Source organism: Homo sapiens, chromosome 2, assembly GCF_000001405.40.
Source record: "Homo sapiens chromosome 2, GRCh38.p14 Primary Assembly".
NCBI lineage: Eukaryota > Metazoa > Chordata > Mammalia > Primates > Hominidae > Homo > Homo sapiens.
This window is the reverse complement of record NC_000002.12, coordinates 62,286,784-62,301,614: the sequence shown is the minus strand read 5'-3', so window position 1 is coordinate 62,301,614 and position 14,831 is coordinate 62,286,784. Positions and strand designations below refer to the sequence as shown.

The window sequence follows — 14,831 nt, the reverse complement described above, 5'->3', positions numbered from 1 at the left end:
GGAAATCTCCAGGGACAGAGTAGGAACAAAGTCATACAGGCATCCCTCAGGCATAGTGCCAGTTTAGTTCCAGACCACCACGCAGTAAATATCATGATAAAGCAAGTCACAAAAATTTTTTGGTTTCCCAGTGCATATAAAAGTATGTTTACCCTATACTGTGGTTTATTAAGTGTGCAATAGCATATGTCTAAACAATGTACATACCTTAATTAAAAGATAATATTGCTAAAAAATGCTAATGAAGTGAGCACGTGCTGTTGGAAAAATAGCACTGATAGACTTGCTCCACGCAGGGTTGCCACAAACCTTCAATTTGTAAAAAATGCAATATCTGCAAAGTGCAATAAAGCAAAGTATAATAAAATAAAACATGCCTGTAAATGGGAGCTAAAGCCGGAAGACCCACAGGGGACTCAGACTGGATGAGCTGTGGTTGCAATTTCAATGCGTCATGAGCCCCACATGCAGCAGGAAGCCATGAGTCCAGGAGGCAGGACCATGCCACCCCTTCAGGAAGAGGGCTGCCCAAGGTTGTGGCTGAACACAAGCCATCTGCCCAGCTATCAGTGGAAACAGTCAACAGTCCTGGTCCACTAGCCATAGACTTGGTTTGAAGTCAGTGCTCTATTCCATAGGACAACACTGAAACCTCCTCACCGGAATCCTTCTTCTAAAACCCAGACCACACAGTGGAGAAGTCCCAAGAAAGATGGCTCCCATGAAAGACAAGCTCATAGGCAAGAATTACACACCCTATAAGGAAGATCAACAACACTAAAGGCAGTTTTCAGACCCCCCCAAAGAAGAAAATTTATACTTAAGGAACTAGAGATAATAGACAATCTTGAAGGGGGTTTTAAAATGTATACATAAAACTTCAGGGAACTAAATGAAAGAATAGCCATCACAAATAAGAACAGATGGTTATGAAATAAAAATAGGCAAATACGTGAAAAAGTATACATATTAGAAACGAATAATGCAGTTATTGAGGTAGCTGGATGTCTTATTTATGTTTTATAGGTGTGTGAGTTTTTTATACACAAACATTCACATGTACATATACAGAAAAAGATTGGAGGGAAATACATCAAGTGGTAAGTAATAGCTAACTCTGAGAATAGGACTAGGGGTGTTTTAATTTTCTTCTTTTTGCCTACCTGTAACTTCAAACTTTTTTGTTACAGTGAATATGTAATTAAGAAAAGAAAAAAATCACTAAGAGACATATTTGTTTTTTAATTTTTAACTTTTATATTTTTGTAGGGACAAGGTCTCTCTATATTGCCCAAGCTGGCCTCAAACTCCTGGGCTCAAGCAATCCTCTCGCCTCACCCTCTCAAAGTGCTGGGATTACAAGTGTGAGCCACTGTGCTCAGCCTAAAGACACATTTTAATTTCACAATGATGAAGGATGTATACCTACTATGTACCCTCAAAATTAAAAATTGAAAAAAAAAGCGAAGGCAGAGTTGGTAGTGCTTGGACTCAGTCAATATCACCACATGTAAAATGATCATGAATTAAACCAAGAGATATTAATAAAATTTTATTATACTACATGAAAATAGTTGAATAAGATTTGAACAAATGTTTAGAGCATATTGGGATTGTCTGACCTTATTTAGGATCAAGGTGATACCCAAAATAATTCACTTCAAAGAGTGAGGCAGGCATCCTCCAGAGTGTCTACCACTGAGACCCAGTGAGAGGCCCTGGTGGAGAAGGGAGGTTCTGCGCCAAAGAAGCCAAGCAGTAATTTTGAATGTGAGCTGCACATAAAAAAATCATACAGGGCTGGGCGCAGTGGCTCATGCCTGTAATCCCAGCACTTTGGGAGGCAGAGGCAGGGGGACCACTTGAGGTCAGGAGTTCGAGACCAGCCTGGCCAACAAGGCAAAACCCCGTCTCTACTAAAAATAATACAAAAAAATTAGCCAGGCGTCGTGGTGTACACCTGTAAGCCCAGCTACTCAGGAGACTGAGGCAAGAGAATCACTTGAACCCAGGAAGTGGAGGTTACAGTGTAATGTATGTGTATACACAGTGTAATGTGAGTTTCCCAGTCACAGCATCCTAAGGGACTGAGTCACAACTGCAGTGTGAATAGAAATATTTTTTACCCTAGGCCCCTACCCCATGGTCCCCTCCTCCTCCTCCTCCTGGCAGGGCCCAAGTATCTCATCAACACTGCCTCCGCTGATAAAGCCTTCCTGGACTTCTCTCTGGGCTATTCTCCACTGTGCTTCAGTGGGATCGGCAGCAGGTTTTGCATGAGCACCAGCCTGGCCATCATCAAGGCAAGCAGTGATGTTGCCAACTCCATACATCACTGCTAGTGTTGGCCACTAGCAATACAGTGTAGTCACTGTCACTCCCCAGTGAGGACATCACCGTGTACTCTGACCGTGGTTGCCACTACCCCATGTTGGGGCTGACACTACCCCATTGCCCCTGTGCCAATTAGACCAAAGAGTGCCCTTCCTTAAGACATTGGACTTCCTCTAACAGAAAACCATCATGATATTCTGACTTTAGGATGCAACACTTGGCTGCCATTTGCTGGAAAGATTTCTCTTTGGTGTCCATTATGTGTATGGGCTTCTTGGGATGTGGTAGGGCACAGCCTGGCCAGTTTCTAACTCTTTGAAGTGGAAGAGATGTCTCTCCTGATCAGTTTTCATGGCTTGTTTATAAGGCTCCAAAAGGACCACTCCTGCTCTTTTCATTTTCTTAGGGCCTCCTAGATTCCTCCACCAGGGCTGGGTCAGAAGTCATCAACCATCAACCACCATCAACCACCCAGGGATACGTGCAAGAGACTCCCCGCAGTGATTCTACCATGGAGTGATTTTTTTGCCCATCCAAGCATATTCTTCAGGGGTCAAAGTCACCTTTGTCTTTATTTTTTTTCCCCTAGACATGTAAACCTGCTCTCCTAGAATCCTGTAGTCAGTCCTTAAAATTATCTTCATTTCTTCAAGGAGTCCTAGTGGGTTTTCACACAGAGTGGATACCTGAAATCCCATCTGGGCATGCCAACGCTTAGCTCTTGCCTCCAGCACAACTGGGGTCACAGGAGTCTCTGCCACACAATTGTGACTTATTAGACAAACATGGCCTGCAGCTGCCTGAACTTGGCTGGCTTCTCTGAAAGAGTCTCCTTCCATCACAAGTCACCTGTGGTCTCTTAGTGTTCATTCACAACAGTTGATATTTAACAACCAAAGCCAGCCCAACATATAATAAGGTGTTTGAACTAAACCAAGAAGTTTCTCCCTCTAAACTTCAATTGGGTTAAATTTCTTAGGAAGAGAGCCCCTTAAAGAAGCAGCCATCAGTCAGTGTTAACTAAGCATCTCCTAACAAAGCTCTTAGATGCGGAAGAGGACTCCAAGGTGGTCTCCAACTCTCCATAGGAATTGCATCCTACAATTCCATTCCATCCTGATTAATATGTAGGATTAATTAATATGTTGGATTGGACCTGAAGTCAGTGCAGACACCACAGGTTTAGGGTTTAGTCCCATGAGACTGCTCCACTTTGGATGCCAGTCGAAAGTCACAGGTTGTCCCCAGTACTTCTGATCAATCAGCTATAAACCAAGAGTTTCCACAACCCCCTCCTCAGGTTGGATAATTTGCTAGAAGGACTCACAGAACTCAGGAAAGTATTTTACTTACTATTACTGGTTTATTGGAATGGATACAAGTTAGAAACAGGCAAATGGAAGAGATGTAAAGGACAAGGTACTAGGGGGCGGTGTGGAGCTTCCACGCTCTCTCTGGAATGCCACCCTCCCAGGACCTCAACGTATTCAGCAACTCAGAAGCTCTCTGAACCTCACTGTTCAGTTTTTAATGGAGATCCCATTACCTAGACATGATTGATTAAATCATTAGCCATTGGTGATTGACTCTATCTCCAGCCCCTCTCTCTTCCCAGGAGGTCCAGGATAGGGCTGAAAGTTCCAATCCTCTACTCCTGCCTTGGTCTTTCTGGAGAGCAGCCCCCATCCTGAAGCTAACTAGGGACCCCCAGCCACCGGACATCTCATTGGCACACAAAAGACACTCATCTCTTGGGGACAAAGCCCAAGTATATCTTATCACAGATAGACAGACTGGGCCCCTTCATGGAAAAAGTTCCCAATTTACTCTGAAAGATAAGAGTGACTATACTTCGCTGCTTGCCTGCCACGGTCCCAGTTTACACACATTGTCCCAGAGTAATTATTATTCCCACCTCCTTTCACTCTTAAGAATGTCATGGTTTGGAGGCTAAAAGTCACACGGTCACCCTAGATAAGACACATATTTAAGAAAAGAGAACTTGGAAGTCAGAGTAGAACACACCATTAAGTGTTAGGATTGTCACAAAGCCCATGAGGCTGGCTAGGGACCCCTGGAGTCAGTGTCTAAGGCTCCTTTTCTTACCAGGCCCTGCACATGCCTCTCGCACCAGGGAAAGGGAGGCCTCTGGAGAGGGCAAGGGCACCGGTTAGATGCAGCAAATCCCAAAAAAGTCTGACTTCATTGCTTTTCCATTCGTTGGTAAAGACAAATAAAAGGCTATAAAATACATTTTAAAGGGAGGGCACTAGAGACAGCATTATGGACTTTAGACCTATGAAGACCTGAAGCCCTACTTCGTATCCACACATACCACAGGCTCTGAATGCTGAGTGAAAAATAGCTCAGTGACAGAGAGAGAGAGAGAATGTGAAAAAGAGAGAGAGAGAGAATATGTGTATCTGATTCCATGTGATTTAGGGGTTTTGTCTGGAGACATCCCTGTGCCTCGCTCCCCCTCCCTGGGCGTGGCTGGCCACTCGCATCCCTGGCTCCCTCCTCCCATGTACCACGTTTCCAGTCCTCTTTGCTGAGGATAACACTGCACAAAGACAAATGGTGAAGCCTCTTTTTTCTCCAACTGAAGTAACACCCAGGCGATGAGAGCAGCACATCTTAATTCCCAACAAGTTTACTCGAAGAGCCCCTTCCTCCTCTGCTCCCTTGGCTATCCGGCACCTCGATGTCCCTCCCGCCCTTGCAGGGAAGCCTGGGTGTTGCCAGCTCCCTGGTGAGGAAAAGGCAGGTTCTCCTGAGGGAAGGAGCGAAGAGGACATCTGACTTGGGTACCCATGTTCCCTTTGGTTATTTACCTGTCCTGTGGCTGACGCCACCACCCACACCTGGAGATGTCCCCAGAGCACACCGTGGGCGAAGGTGTTTTCCTCTCTTCATTCTCGTGTTTAATACAACCAGATCTTGGAAGCGCTGGGAAGAAGGGCAGGCAGTGAATGGTGTGACAGAGCCAAATCCTCTGACCCCACGCCTTTCCCTGGGCTTGACAGAGTGGGGACAGATAGGGCATCTCCACAGGCAAGGCTGTGGGGATTGATAAGACGGGCACACCCACAACTCCCGAGTCACTGACAACCCTCTGCATCCTGTGAAAGAGTCATTTTCAAGAAGTCAAAAACATGGTTGTAAGGGATGGCCCAAGGGAGTTTTTCAGGGGGATGATGGACCTGTTTTGTATCCTAATTGTGGTAGCAGGTACGCAACTATATATGGGCTAGAATTCATAGAACTGTAAATGAAGAAAACCCTCAACTTTGCCAGATGTTAATTTTTCAAAATTAAATTTTAAAACATGGCTTTCACACAAATATAGAATGAACATGTATCTAAAAAGTATTTAATCAGTGAGAGAACCAGCAGGATGGAAGAGCTGGTTTAAAAAAAAATGTAGGAGACATCAAAATAGTTACAATTACTGAAGGAAAGAATATTAAAGTAATATTGCTAAATCACTTTATATAAAACCTTAGACTTTCTTTCTCTTCTTTTTTTTTTTTTAAGATGGAGTCTTGCTCTGTTGCCCAGGCTGGAGTGCAATGGCGTGATCTCCCCTCACTGCAACCACTGCCTCCCAGGTTCAAGCGATTCTCCCACCTCAGCCTCCTGAGTAGCTGGGATTACAGATGCCCACCACCATGCCCGGCTAATTTTTGTATTGTTAGTAGAGATGTGGGGGTTTCACCATGTTGGCCAGGCTGGTCTCAAACTCCTGACCTCAGGTGATCTGCCCACCTCGGCCTCCCAAAGTGCTGGGATTACAGGCGTGAGCCACTGTGCCCGGACTTAGCCTTTTTTCCCCTTTTCTTTTTTTTTTACAATTTTTTATGGGGCAATATTTCATCCCATAAAATAGAATGAGTGTCCTCCCTGGCCTTTTCACTAAAATGCTTTTATTTGTGTCACTATAAAACAAGTCTGCACCCTATCAGTTTCCTATGCCTTTGTCATAAAGTTGTAAAATAACCTAATGAGTAGTAAATAGCAAGTTAGACAAAGGTCTACACCCCTAGAAAGTCAGGTAATTCCTTGAACAGGCCTGCCAGACAATGCCCAAGGCTGACATGACTCAAAGGACCTGCAGGAATCTCTGCTCCATTTTCAAGTCTTGGACAATTTTCCCTAACAATTTTCCTGTTCCTATTTCCCAGGGGAAAGGAAACAGGAATGTGAGGCCCACAGCTGTGCCCAGGGAGGAAATAGTGAACTGAGCTATCAAAGAAGGGAGAGGCCCAGGGATGTCCTGTGGTCCTAAGGAAGCTAGCTGGTCTGCATCCCAGCAGGACATCAGTGGTTTTGAAAAATATAGGCATTCATAGAAAAGATAGCAGGAAAGAAAACCAGACAGGGCTGTCTGGATCCACAGACCACCCAGATCATCCTCAGACCCACCAGAATCATTCTTGCCCCAGGGTTCCAGACCCATGGCAGGTGGCACAGCCTGGGACCTGGCCTCTCCCTCTAGGTTTCATGAGCACTGTTCCAACTGCCATGACTTCGGGTGAGTCCCTCAGCCTTTCTTTTTCTTTTCTTTTTTTTTTTCTTTTTTTTTTTTTTGGAGATAGAGTATTGCTCTGTCGCCCAAGCTGGAGTGTAGTGGCATGATCTTGGCTCACCACAACCTCCCCCTCCCGGGTTCAAGAGAGTCTCCTGCCTCAGCCTCCTGAGTAGCTGGGATTACAGGCGCACACCACCACACCGGGCTGATGTTTGTATTTTTAGTAGAGATGGGGTTTTGCCATGTTGGCCAGGCAGGTCTTGAACTCCTGACCTCAGGTGATTCACCTGCCTCAGTCTCCCAAAGTGCTGGGATTACAGGCATCAGCCACTGTGCCCAGCCCCTCGACCTTTCTTTTTCAGACATTGGAAATGGGACACGTTAGCCCTATCTGCTCAGAGGGGAACTCCAAAGCGAGCCCAGAGCAGATGTGGGAGTGGATTCGGCCTCCTCCGGACCCCTCCAGCTGGGTGGAAGGGGTCTTGCCAGCCAGTTCCCCCAGGACAGCATCTGAGTGCAGGTGGACCCTGGTGACTGGCCCCATGACAGCCAAGGCTCCGGAAACCACAGCATGTCTGCAGCTGCAGGGTCTTCTTTTGTGGGAAGGGGAAAAGCAAAGCCGCCCTGAGGGAATGCTAAACATGTGCTCAGCAGAGAGGCTCCGGGCTGGGAGAGGAAGGTGAGGCGGGAGCCTGTAAACAAAAGGCCACAGCCCTGAGAAATCCAGGAGGAGCTGGTAGGAGGCGGGGCGCGAACGGCCCTGGCTGCAGCCTGTGCCAGACCAGCCAGGCGCCCTGTTTACAGTGCTGGTCACACTGGGGCAACCAGAACCAGGGCTTGCTGAATTCTTCACCTCCTAGGTGACTGAACGGAGCTGGGAGGAGTCAATTCAGTCCCCTTGGCCTTCGTGCCAGCTGGCCTCTCCCGAGGTTAATAATTCAGGCCTCTCCAGCCAGTGGGCCCAGGGCCTGCGTCAGGGCTGTGAACTGTGGTTTCTGTTTCCCTGGCTGCCTCCCCACAGTGCTAGGCCGACAGTGCTGCCAACCAGAAGACCCTCCTCAGCCACCCACCAGTGGGGGCATCCTGCCTGACCTTCAGCCTGCCCCAGCCTGCTTCCCACGCCCACAGGGAGGGCAGGTATCGTGCAGCTCCTCTGGTTACTGTTCTCTGGCAGCCGTCCAATCCCTGCCCTGGGTTGCTGGATTCACACCTCACCGGGCACACTTCAAGGAAGGGAAGCTCTCATTGCCCTCCCTCCTCCATGCCCTTCTCATGCTTCACTCCCAATCCTGTGCCCCAGGTGCCTCTACTCCCAGACCCGGACTCACTGGTATGTGGGGGACCAGCACGGCAGAGGGCAGGAATACAACTGCTCCCCTTTCTCCAGACCCCTAACTCTGTTCACAATTGTCAAGAAAGCCCCAGACCACTGACGTGATGGTATGGGTAGGAACCGGGGTGACAGCTCTGTGGCCTGAGTGTCTGGGCAGGGCAGAGAAGCATCCTGGGAGACCTCATTCCCCCTGGGTGGGTTCCTGGCATTCCCGTCACGGGCTTGAGCCAGAAAAAGTGACCATTGAAAGAGCCTCCACCTCAGACACTGGCTAGGGCAGAGGGTCAGTTCAGCAACCTGCCGTCCCTGGGTTGTGGGCTTCCCCCAGTACACCAGCTGCGGAAAAGCAGAGTCTGAACAAAACAAGAGAGGGTCCCTGATGGTGGAACTTCTCACGGGGAGCTGGAACTTCTCACGGGGAGCTGAACCCGGGAGGGGGAGATTGTGGTGAGCCGAGATCATGCCGCTACACTCCAGCCTGGGCGACAGAGCAATACTCTATCTCAAAAAAAAAAAAAAAGAAAGAAAAAGAAAGGCCGAGGGACTCACCCGAAGTCATGGCGGTGGGAATAGTGCCCATGAAACCTAGAGGGAGAGGCCAGGTCCCAGGCTGTGCCACCTGCCATGGGTCTGGAACCCTGGGGCAAGAATGAATCTGGTGGGTCTGAGGATGATCTGGGTGGTCTGTGGATCCAGACAGCCCTGTCTGGTTTTCTTTCCTGCTATCTTTTCTATGAATGCCTATATTTTTCAAAACCACTGATGTCCTGCTAGGATGCAGACCAGCTAGCTTCTTACGGGGCTGCTGCTGTGGTGGGGCTCACACGGAGGAGGCAAGAAGCCTTCTGCCTTGACAAATGTAATCGCCAGGTAGCAGGGACTCTGGCAGGTGGCAGGCAGCTCAGGGCCTTCAGAGAAATGAGGAGAGCCCTGGACAACAGCCAGGAGAAATCTGGGAATATAGAGGAGACAGCAGTCCTTAAAGGACCCCAGATTAGGCAACTTTCAGTTTCAAAGTGACAGAAAGTTTCTCTACCTCTTCAGTGGGAAGAGCCTAGAGGACTGCTTTGCTGACTTTGGCACTCAGACAGAACCTCCTGGATAAGAGGCAGGGAAAATACCTCTTACATAACCTCAACTTTTCGAAAGCCAGGGCATGCCACTGATACATAACGAGATCGCTTTGATCTGAGAGTGCTCCAGAGCTAGTCTTCTTTTCACTAGGGATGAATGAAAAACACACTGTTTTTCCTCTGCTCTCACACCACAACCATCAGCCCAGAAAACCTGGGTGATCAGATGTGTGGGGATTTCTCTCTACCAATAAGCAGGCAAGCAAGCAATTCCACAGCAGATGCCAGCTGTTCAATCACGATTTACCTGGAGATAGTGTCAGATCCCACAGGTTGAGGGTTCATCCTCACAAGACTGCCCCCCAACTTCCAATGTCAATCACAAGCCCCATTATTTTAATCACCTGACAGGTTCGTCCCACCCACTGCACAGACAAAACCAATTCACTAAGACCGTGGTACTGCAGTAAAGAAATAGTTTAATTAATGCAAGGCCAGACACATGAAACAACTGGTGTTATCACTCTAATCAGTCTCCCTGAGGGCTTGGAGGCTAGGGTTTGTCAAGGATAGTTTGGTGGCCAGAGAACTAGAGAATGGGTGCTGCTGATTGTTTGGGGATGCAATCATAGGGGCGTGGAAAACAGTTCTCGTGCCCTCAGTCGGCTCCTGGGTCAGGGACCGCAGGACTAGTTAAGTCATGAGTTATAAGTCTCAGTGGGGTCAGTTGGTTTCCAGAATACAAAAGTCTGAAAAAGATCTCAAAAGACAAATCTTAGGTTCTACTATAGGAGCAACTGAGGAAGTTGCAAACCTTCTGACCTCTGGCCACATGACTCCTGAGCAGCAAAGAATTGTAGAAACTATGCCTATATTTTAGCAGAATTCAGTCCTTTCCCACAATCCTAATTAGTCTTGCAAAGGCAGTTTTAGTCCCCAAACAGGGAGGGGATATGTTTTAGGAAGGGACTGTTATCATCTTTGCTTCCAAATTCAACTATAAACTAACTTCCTCCCATGGTTAGCTCAGCCTGTGCCCAGGAATGAGTGAAGACAGCCAGCCTGTGAGGCCAGAAGCAAGATGGAGTCAGCCATGTTAGATTTCTCTCATTATCACCATCTTTGCAAAGGTGGTTTCATTATTTTGTCTGTGCTTCTTGCCAACTGGCTATTGATCCAGGTTCCCATGCCCCCCTCCTTGGGTTCAATTAATTTGCTAGAGTGGCTCACAGAACTCAAGGAAACACATTTACCGTTTTTTTTTTTATAAAGCTTATTACAAAGGAAATGAAGAGATACATAAGTTGAGGTATGGAGTCTGGAGCTTCCGTGCCCTCTCAGTATTTGCCACCCTCCCAGAACCTCCTCATGCTCAGCTGTCCAGAAGCTCTCTGAACCAGAACTTTTCGGGTTATTATGGAGGCAGGCATGATTAAGCCATTGGCCTTTGGTGCTTAACCCAAACTTTAGCCCCCTCTCCTCCAAATGAAGAGATGCATAAGATAAGGAATTGCAGGGAGAGCTGAAAGTTCCATCCCTCTAATCCTGCCTTGGTCTTTTTGGTGACCAGCTCACATCCTGAAGTTAGGTAGGGGCTGCCAGCCATGGATCAACTCATTAGCAAACAAAAAGACTTTGGAGTTCCCAAGGATTTTAGGAGTATGCTAGGAGACCGGAATAAGACTCTCTCTCTCTCTCTCTCTCTCTCTCTATATATATATATATATATATATATGTGTGTGTGTGTGTGTGTGTGTGTGTGTGTGTGTGTGTGTATATATATATAATTTTTTTTAGATGGAGTCTTGCTCTGTCACCCAGGCTGGAGTGCAGTGGCACAATCTCAGCTCACTGCAACCTCCGCCTCCCGGGTTCAAGCGATTCTCCTGCCTCAGCCTCCCAAGTAGCTGGGACTACAGGCACCCACCACCATGCCTGGCTAATTTTTGTATTTTTAGTAGAGATGGGGGGGTTCACCATGTTGGCCAGGCTGGTCTCAAACTCCTGGCCTCAAGTGATCCACCTGCCTCAGCCTCCCAAAGTCCTGGGATTACAGGCATGAGCCACCACGCCCGGCCCAAATATATATTTTACAATATTATACTAGGCCTCTTCTCTTCACTAGCAAGTCTCCTCCACCCTGAGCATCTGGGAACCAGGTCTGCGCTGGTCCTTCATACTCCCCACCACAGCCTCCTGAGGTGGGAATTAGCACCCTGGGACAACTGGAACTCCAAGATTAAGTAAACCTAAACCATTTGTCTCCACCTTGTCTTTCTGCCAATGATCTTTTGGACTCACATGTAGGTCATCCCATGTCCCTGTTAAAAGTAATTTTGAAGCCAATCACAAAAGGCCACATATAGCATGATTCCATGTGTATGAAATGTCCAAAATAGGCAAATCGATAGAGACAAAAAGTAGGTGAGTTGTTGCCTATAGCTGGGGGGTGGTTGAGGGATGGGTGACTAAAGGGTACAGGGTTTCTTTTTGAAGTGATGAAAATGTTCTAAAATTGATTATGAAGATGAACAGGCAACCTTTGTGACTGTACTAAAAAACACTGAATTGTGTACTTTAGATGGGTGAATTGTAAATTATATGTCAATAAAGCTGTTAGAAGAAAAACCAATGATTTTTGCAGATTTTGACCCACAAGATGATCTGCCATTTGCTATATTACATGTGGATATATATGATGTCTCTGTGTCCACTCAGTTGGAAAAGGCCTCCGAGGCCCATTTGGGATCTCACCTGCCTACTCCAGCTGTGAGCATGGAAGGGAAATGAGCTATTTGGGTTGTCAAGAATGTGACAGGAAGGGATCAGCAGAGGCTCTAGGTGGAGGCAGGATGAAAACGTGGAAGCCTTGCACCACACGTTGCACCACAGCCCAGACTCAGGCTCCCAGAGCTCTAGGCTCTCACTGGGCTGGTGGTGAAATGGTGGTGCTGTGAGGTCTCCATTTCCATTGAGAAGTCAATAGAAGATCTCTCAAAGCTGTACCTCCTCCTCTCTCGGGAGGGTTCCAGGGCCCCTGGACAGTCTCCCTAGACATAAGTGTGCCTTAAGATATTTGTGCCCTTTGCTATGTGGGCCTGGGATGGCCACAGCTCTTGGGCTGGTAAGCTCAGGCCTCTAGCAACCTATCCAGGGCTTCGAATTTCCTACAGTGAGCCATGTAATGCTGAGAGGTGAAAATGGTTGGCTGACATGGTTGCTTTGCCCAGTGGTTTTCAAAGGGTGGTCCCAGGACCAGCAATATCAGCATCACTTGGGAACTCTTCAGGAATACAAATGCTCAGGCCATCCCAGACCTATTGAATTGGAAACTCCACAGGTAGGACCCAGGAATCTGTGTTTTAACAAGCCATCCAGGGGAGTCTGATGGACATGAAAGTTTGAGAATCATGATATAGATCCTGAGGTCCCTGAAGCAGAGGGACACATGCTGGTTCTGGATTGCATCCCCAGCACTAGCGACGTCTGCTATAAGAGGCGGTCATGAAGATTTTGTTGAATAAGTGAATGAACGCATGGTTTAGCTTATTTGTGATGGACTGCTTCTCTCTAACCAGCTGCCAACGAGAATATTTGCAAGCTGATAAAAAGAGAAGGGTGTGAGTATATCTGATCGTTCACTCCAGCTTCTTGTTGGCTCTGTTTGATCTCTGAATTATTAAGCAGGACTCATGGCCCATTTCACGTTTTCTTTTTAGAGATGAGGCCCTGGCTCTTTGACAATTTTTTTTTTCTAACCTCCAGAAACAAAAGCACTTTCCATTTGATTTCAGAATCAAGTTCTCCCACTACATCATTCTGGCCCTGGAAGGAAAAGGAGGATGCAGCTAGAAGGATGTTTTTGCATTTTCAAGTTCAAATGTACTCAAATTATTAAACATCTGGCTCTCAGGAGAACCAAGAAACACAGGCCAAGCACTTCTTAGAAATCCTGGGGGATGGGCAGGTTATGCACAGCAAATAGTAGGCCCATTTCCCATTCAGAGTTAGCCAGTGGCCAGAGGCTGGGTGGAGCTTGGTGCCTTCTCTCCTTGGTTTTGGATTATGGGCTGACTTTCAGATTCTCTGAAACTGCCACCTCCCTCAAATTCCCCAAAGCCAGGATTTCTTTGGGCTCACACCTCCTGAAACTAGCTGCTCTGTCACCCAGTGTGGTGCCCTTTCTCCTGTAACCACATACATTTCAGCTGGTGAGAGACTGGCCCCAGACAGACTGGGCACAGTGCCAGGACACTGAGGCATCCTCTGTTTCAGGAGCTCCTGGCTCCCTGCCACCAGCCCCACCCCTCACGAGGTCACCACACTCAACTGACAGGCACTAATCACCCTCTGAGCCATCTCACCCACAATGGACATCCAACACCCTCTATCTTTTTAGAACCAGACCCCTGCAGCAGTCTAATAGAACAACCAGGCTAAGAAACTAATTGCCCCAGGCTGGGTACGGTCGCTCACACCTGTAATCCCAGCACTTTTGGGAGGCTGAGGTGGGCAGATTGCTTGAGCTCAGGAGTTCAAGACCAGCCTGGTCAACATGGCAAAGCTGGGCATGGTAGTATGTCCTGTAGTCCCAGCTACTTGGGGGACTGAGGTAGGAGGACCGCTTGAGCCCCAGAAGTTGAGGGTGCAGTGAGCTGAGATTGCACCACTGCCTGGGGGATAAAGTGAGGCCCAACAAAAAAAAGAAAAAGTAACTGCCCCTTGTTTTCTGGGCTGTAGGCGCATAATGAAAAAAATGAACTATACCTCTCCTCCTATTGGATAGCCAGGCCTCAAGTCCTGGGGCATGGGTTTCCCCTACCCAGAGAGGTGAAGGCTTTATTTTTAGGAAGTGAGTAAAGAGCTGGTGGGATGGCTTGGAAGGAGGCTAGAGAAGGAAGCAGCCAAAGTGGAGGGAAGGATGAGGTGCGTGAGCCATCGGCCTTCTGCAGGCCTCATGACTGGGGGATCTGCACCCTGGGAATGACACGTCCTGAAGGTCAGCGACTGTGGCACCAGAGGCAGAGGCCTGAGAACCTCTGCAAAGAAGTGTCCTAGCTTGGTTTGAAGGAGGAGGAGTCAGCCGGGCGCGGTGGCTCACGCCTGTAATCCCAGCACTTTGGGAGGCCAAGGTGGGCGGATCACGAGGTCAGGAGATCGAGACCATCCTGGCTAACACGGTGAAACCCCGTCTCTACTAAAAATACAAAAAAATTAGCTGGGCATGATGGCGGGCGCCTGTAGTCCCAGCTACTCGGGAGGCTGAGGCGGGAGAATGGCGTGAACCCGGAGGCGGAGCTTGCAGTGAGCTGAGATCGCGCCCCTGACCTCCAGCCTGGGCGACAGAGCGAGACTCCATCTCAAAAAAAATAAAAAATAAAAAGAAAGAGGAGGAGTCATGAGCATGGATGAGATCAGAAGGGCTGTGGACAAATTGCACGAGGAGAAGCAGCCAATGCTGGACCGAAGACGGGGCCTCTTCCCTCTTCCCTAAGACAGTGTAAGCCTGGGCGTCACATGCACACCTTGGGCTGGGTGGATGAAGTGGGGGAGGAGGGAG

General features: G+C 48.0%; 2 annotated features.

Annotated features, from left to right (window-relative positions):
* Window positions 4,532-5,031: an enhancer, noted in NCBI's record as "H3K4me1 hESC enhancer chr2:62523719-62524218 (GRCh37/hg19 assembly coordinates)". NCBI's record gives its function as "activates a minimal SCP1, AML or CMV promoter by ChIP-STARR-seq in naive H9 embryonic stem cells {active_cell/tissue: H9 hESC(naive)}" and the evidence as "EXISTENCE:reporter gene assay evidence [ECO:0000049][PMID:30033119]".
* Window positions 13,447-13,741: a silencer, noted in NCBI's record as "tiled region #11227; HepG2 Repressive DNase matched - State 9:DNaseU". NCBI's record gives its function as "represses a minimal TATA promoter and a strong SV40 promoter by Sharpr-MPRA in HepG2 cells {active_cell/tissue: HepG2}" and the evidence as "EXISTENCE:reporter gene assay evidence [ECO:0000049][PMID:27701403]".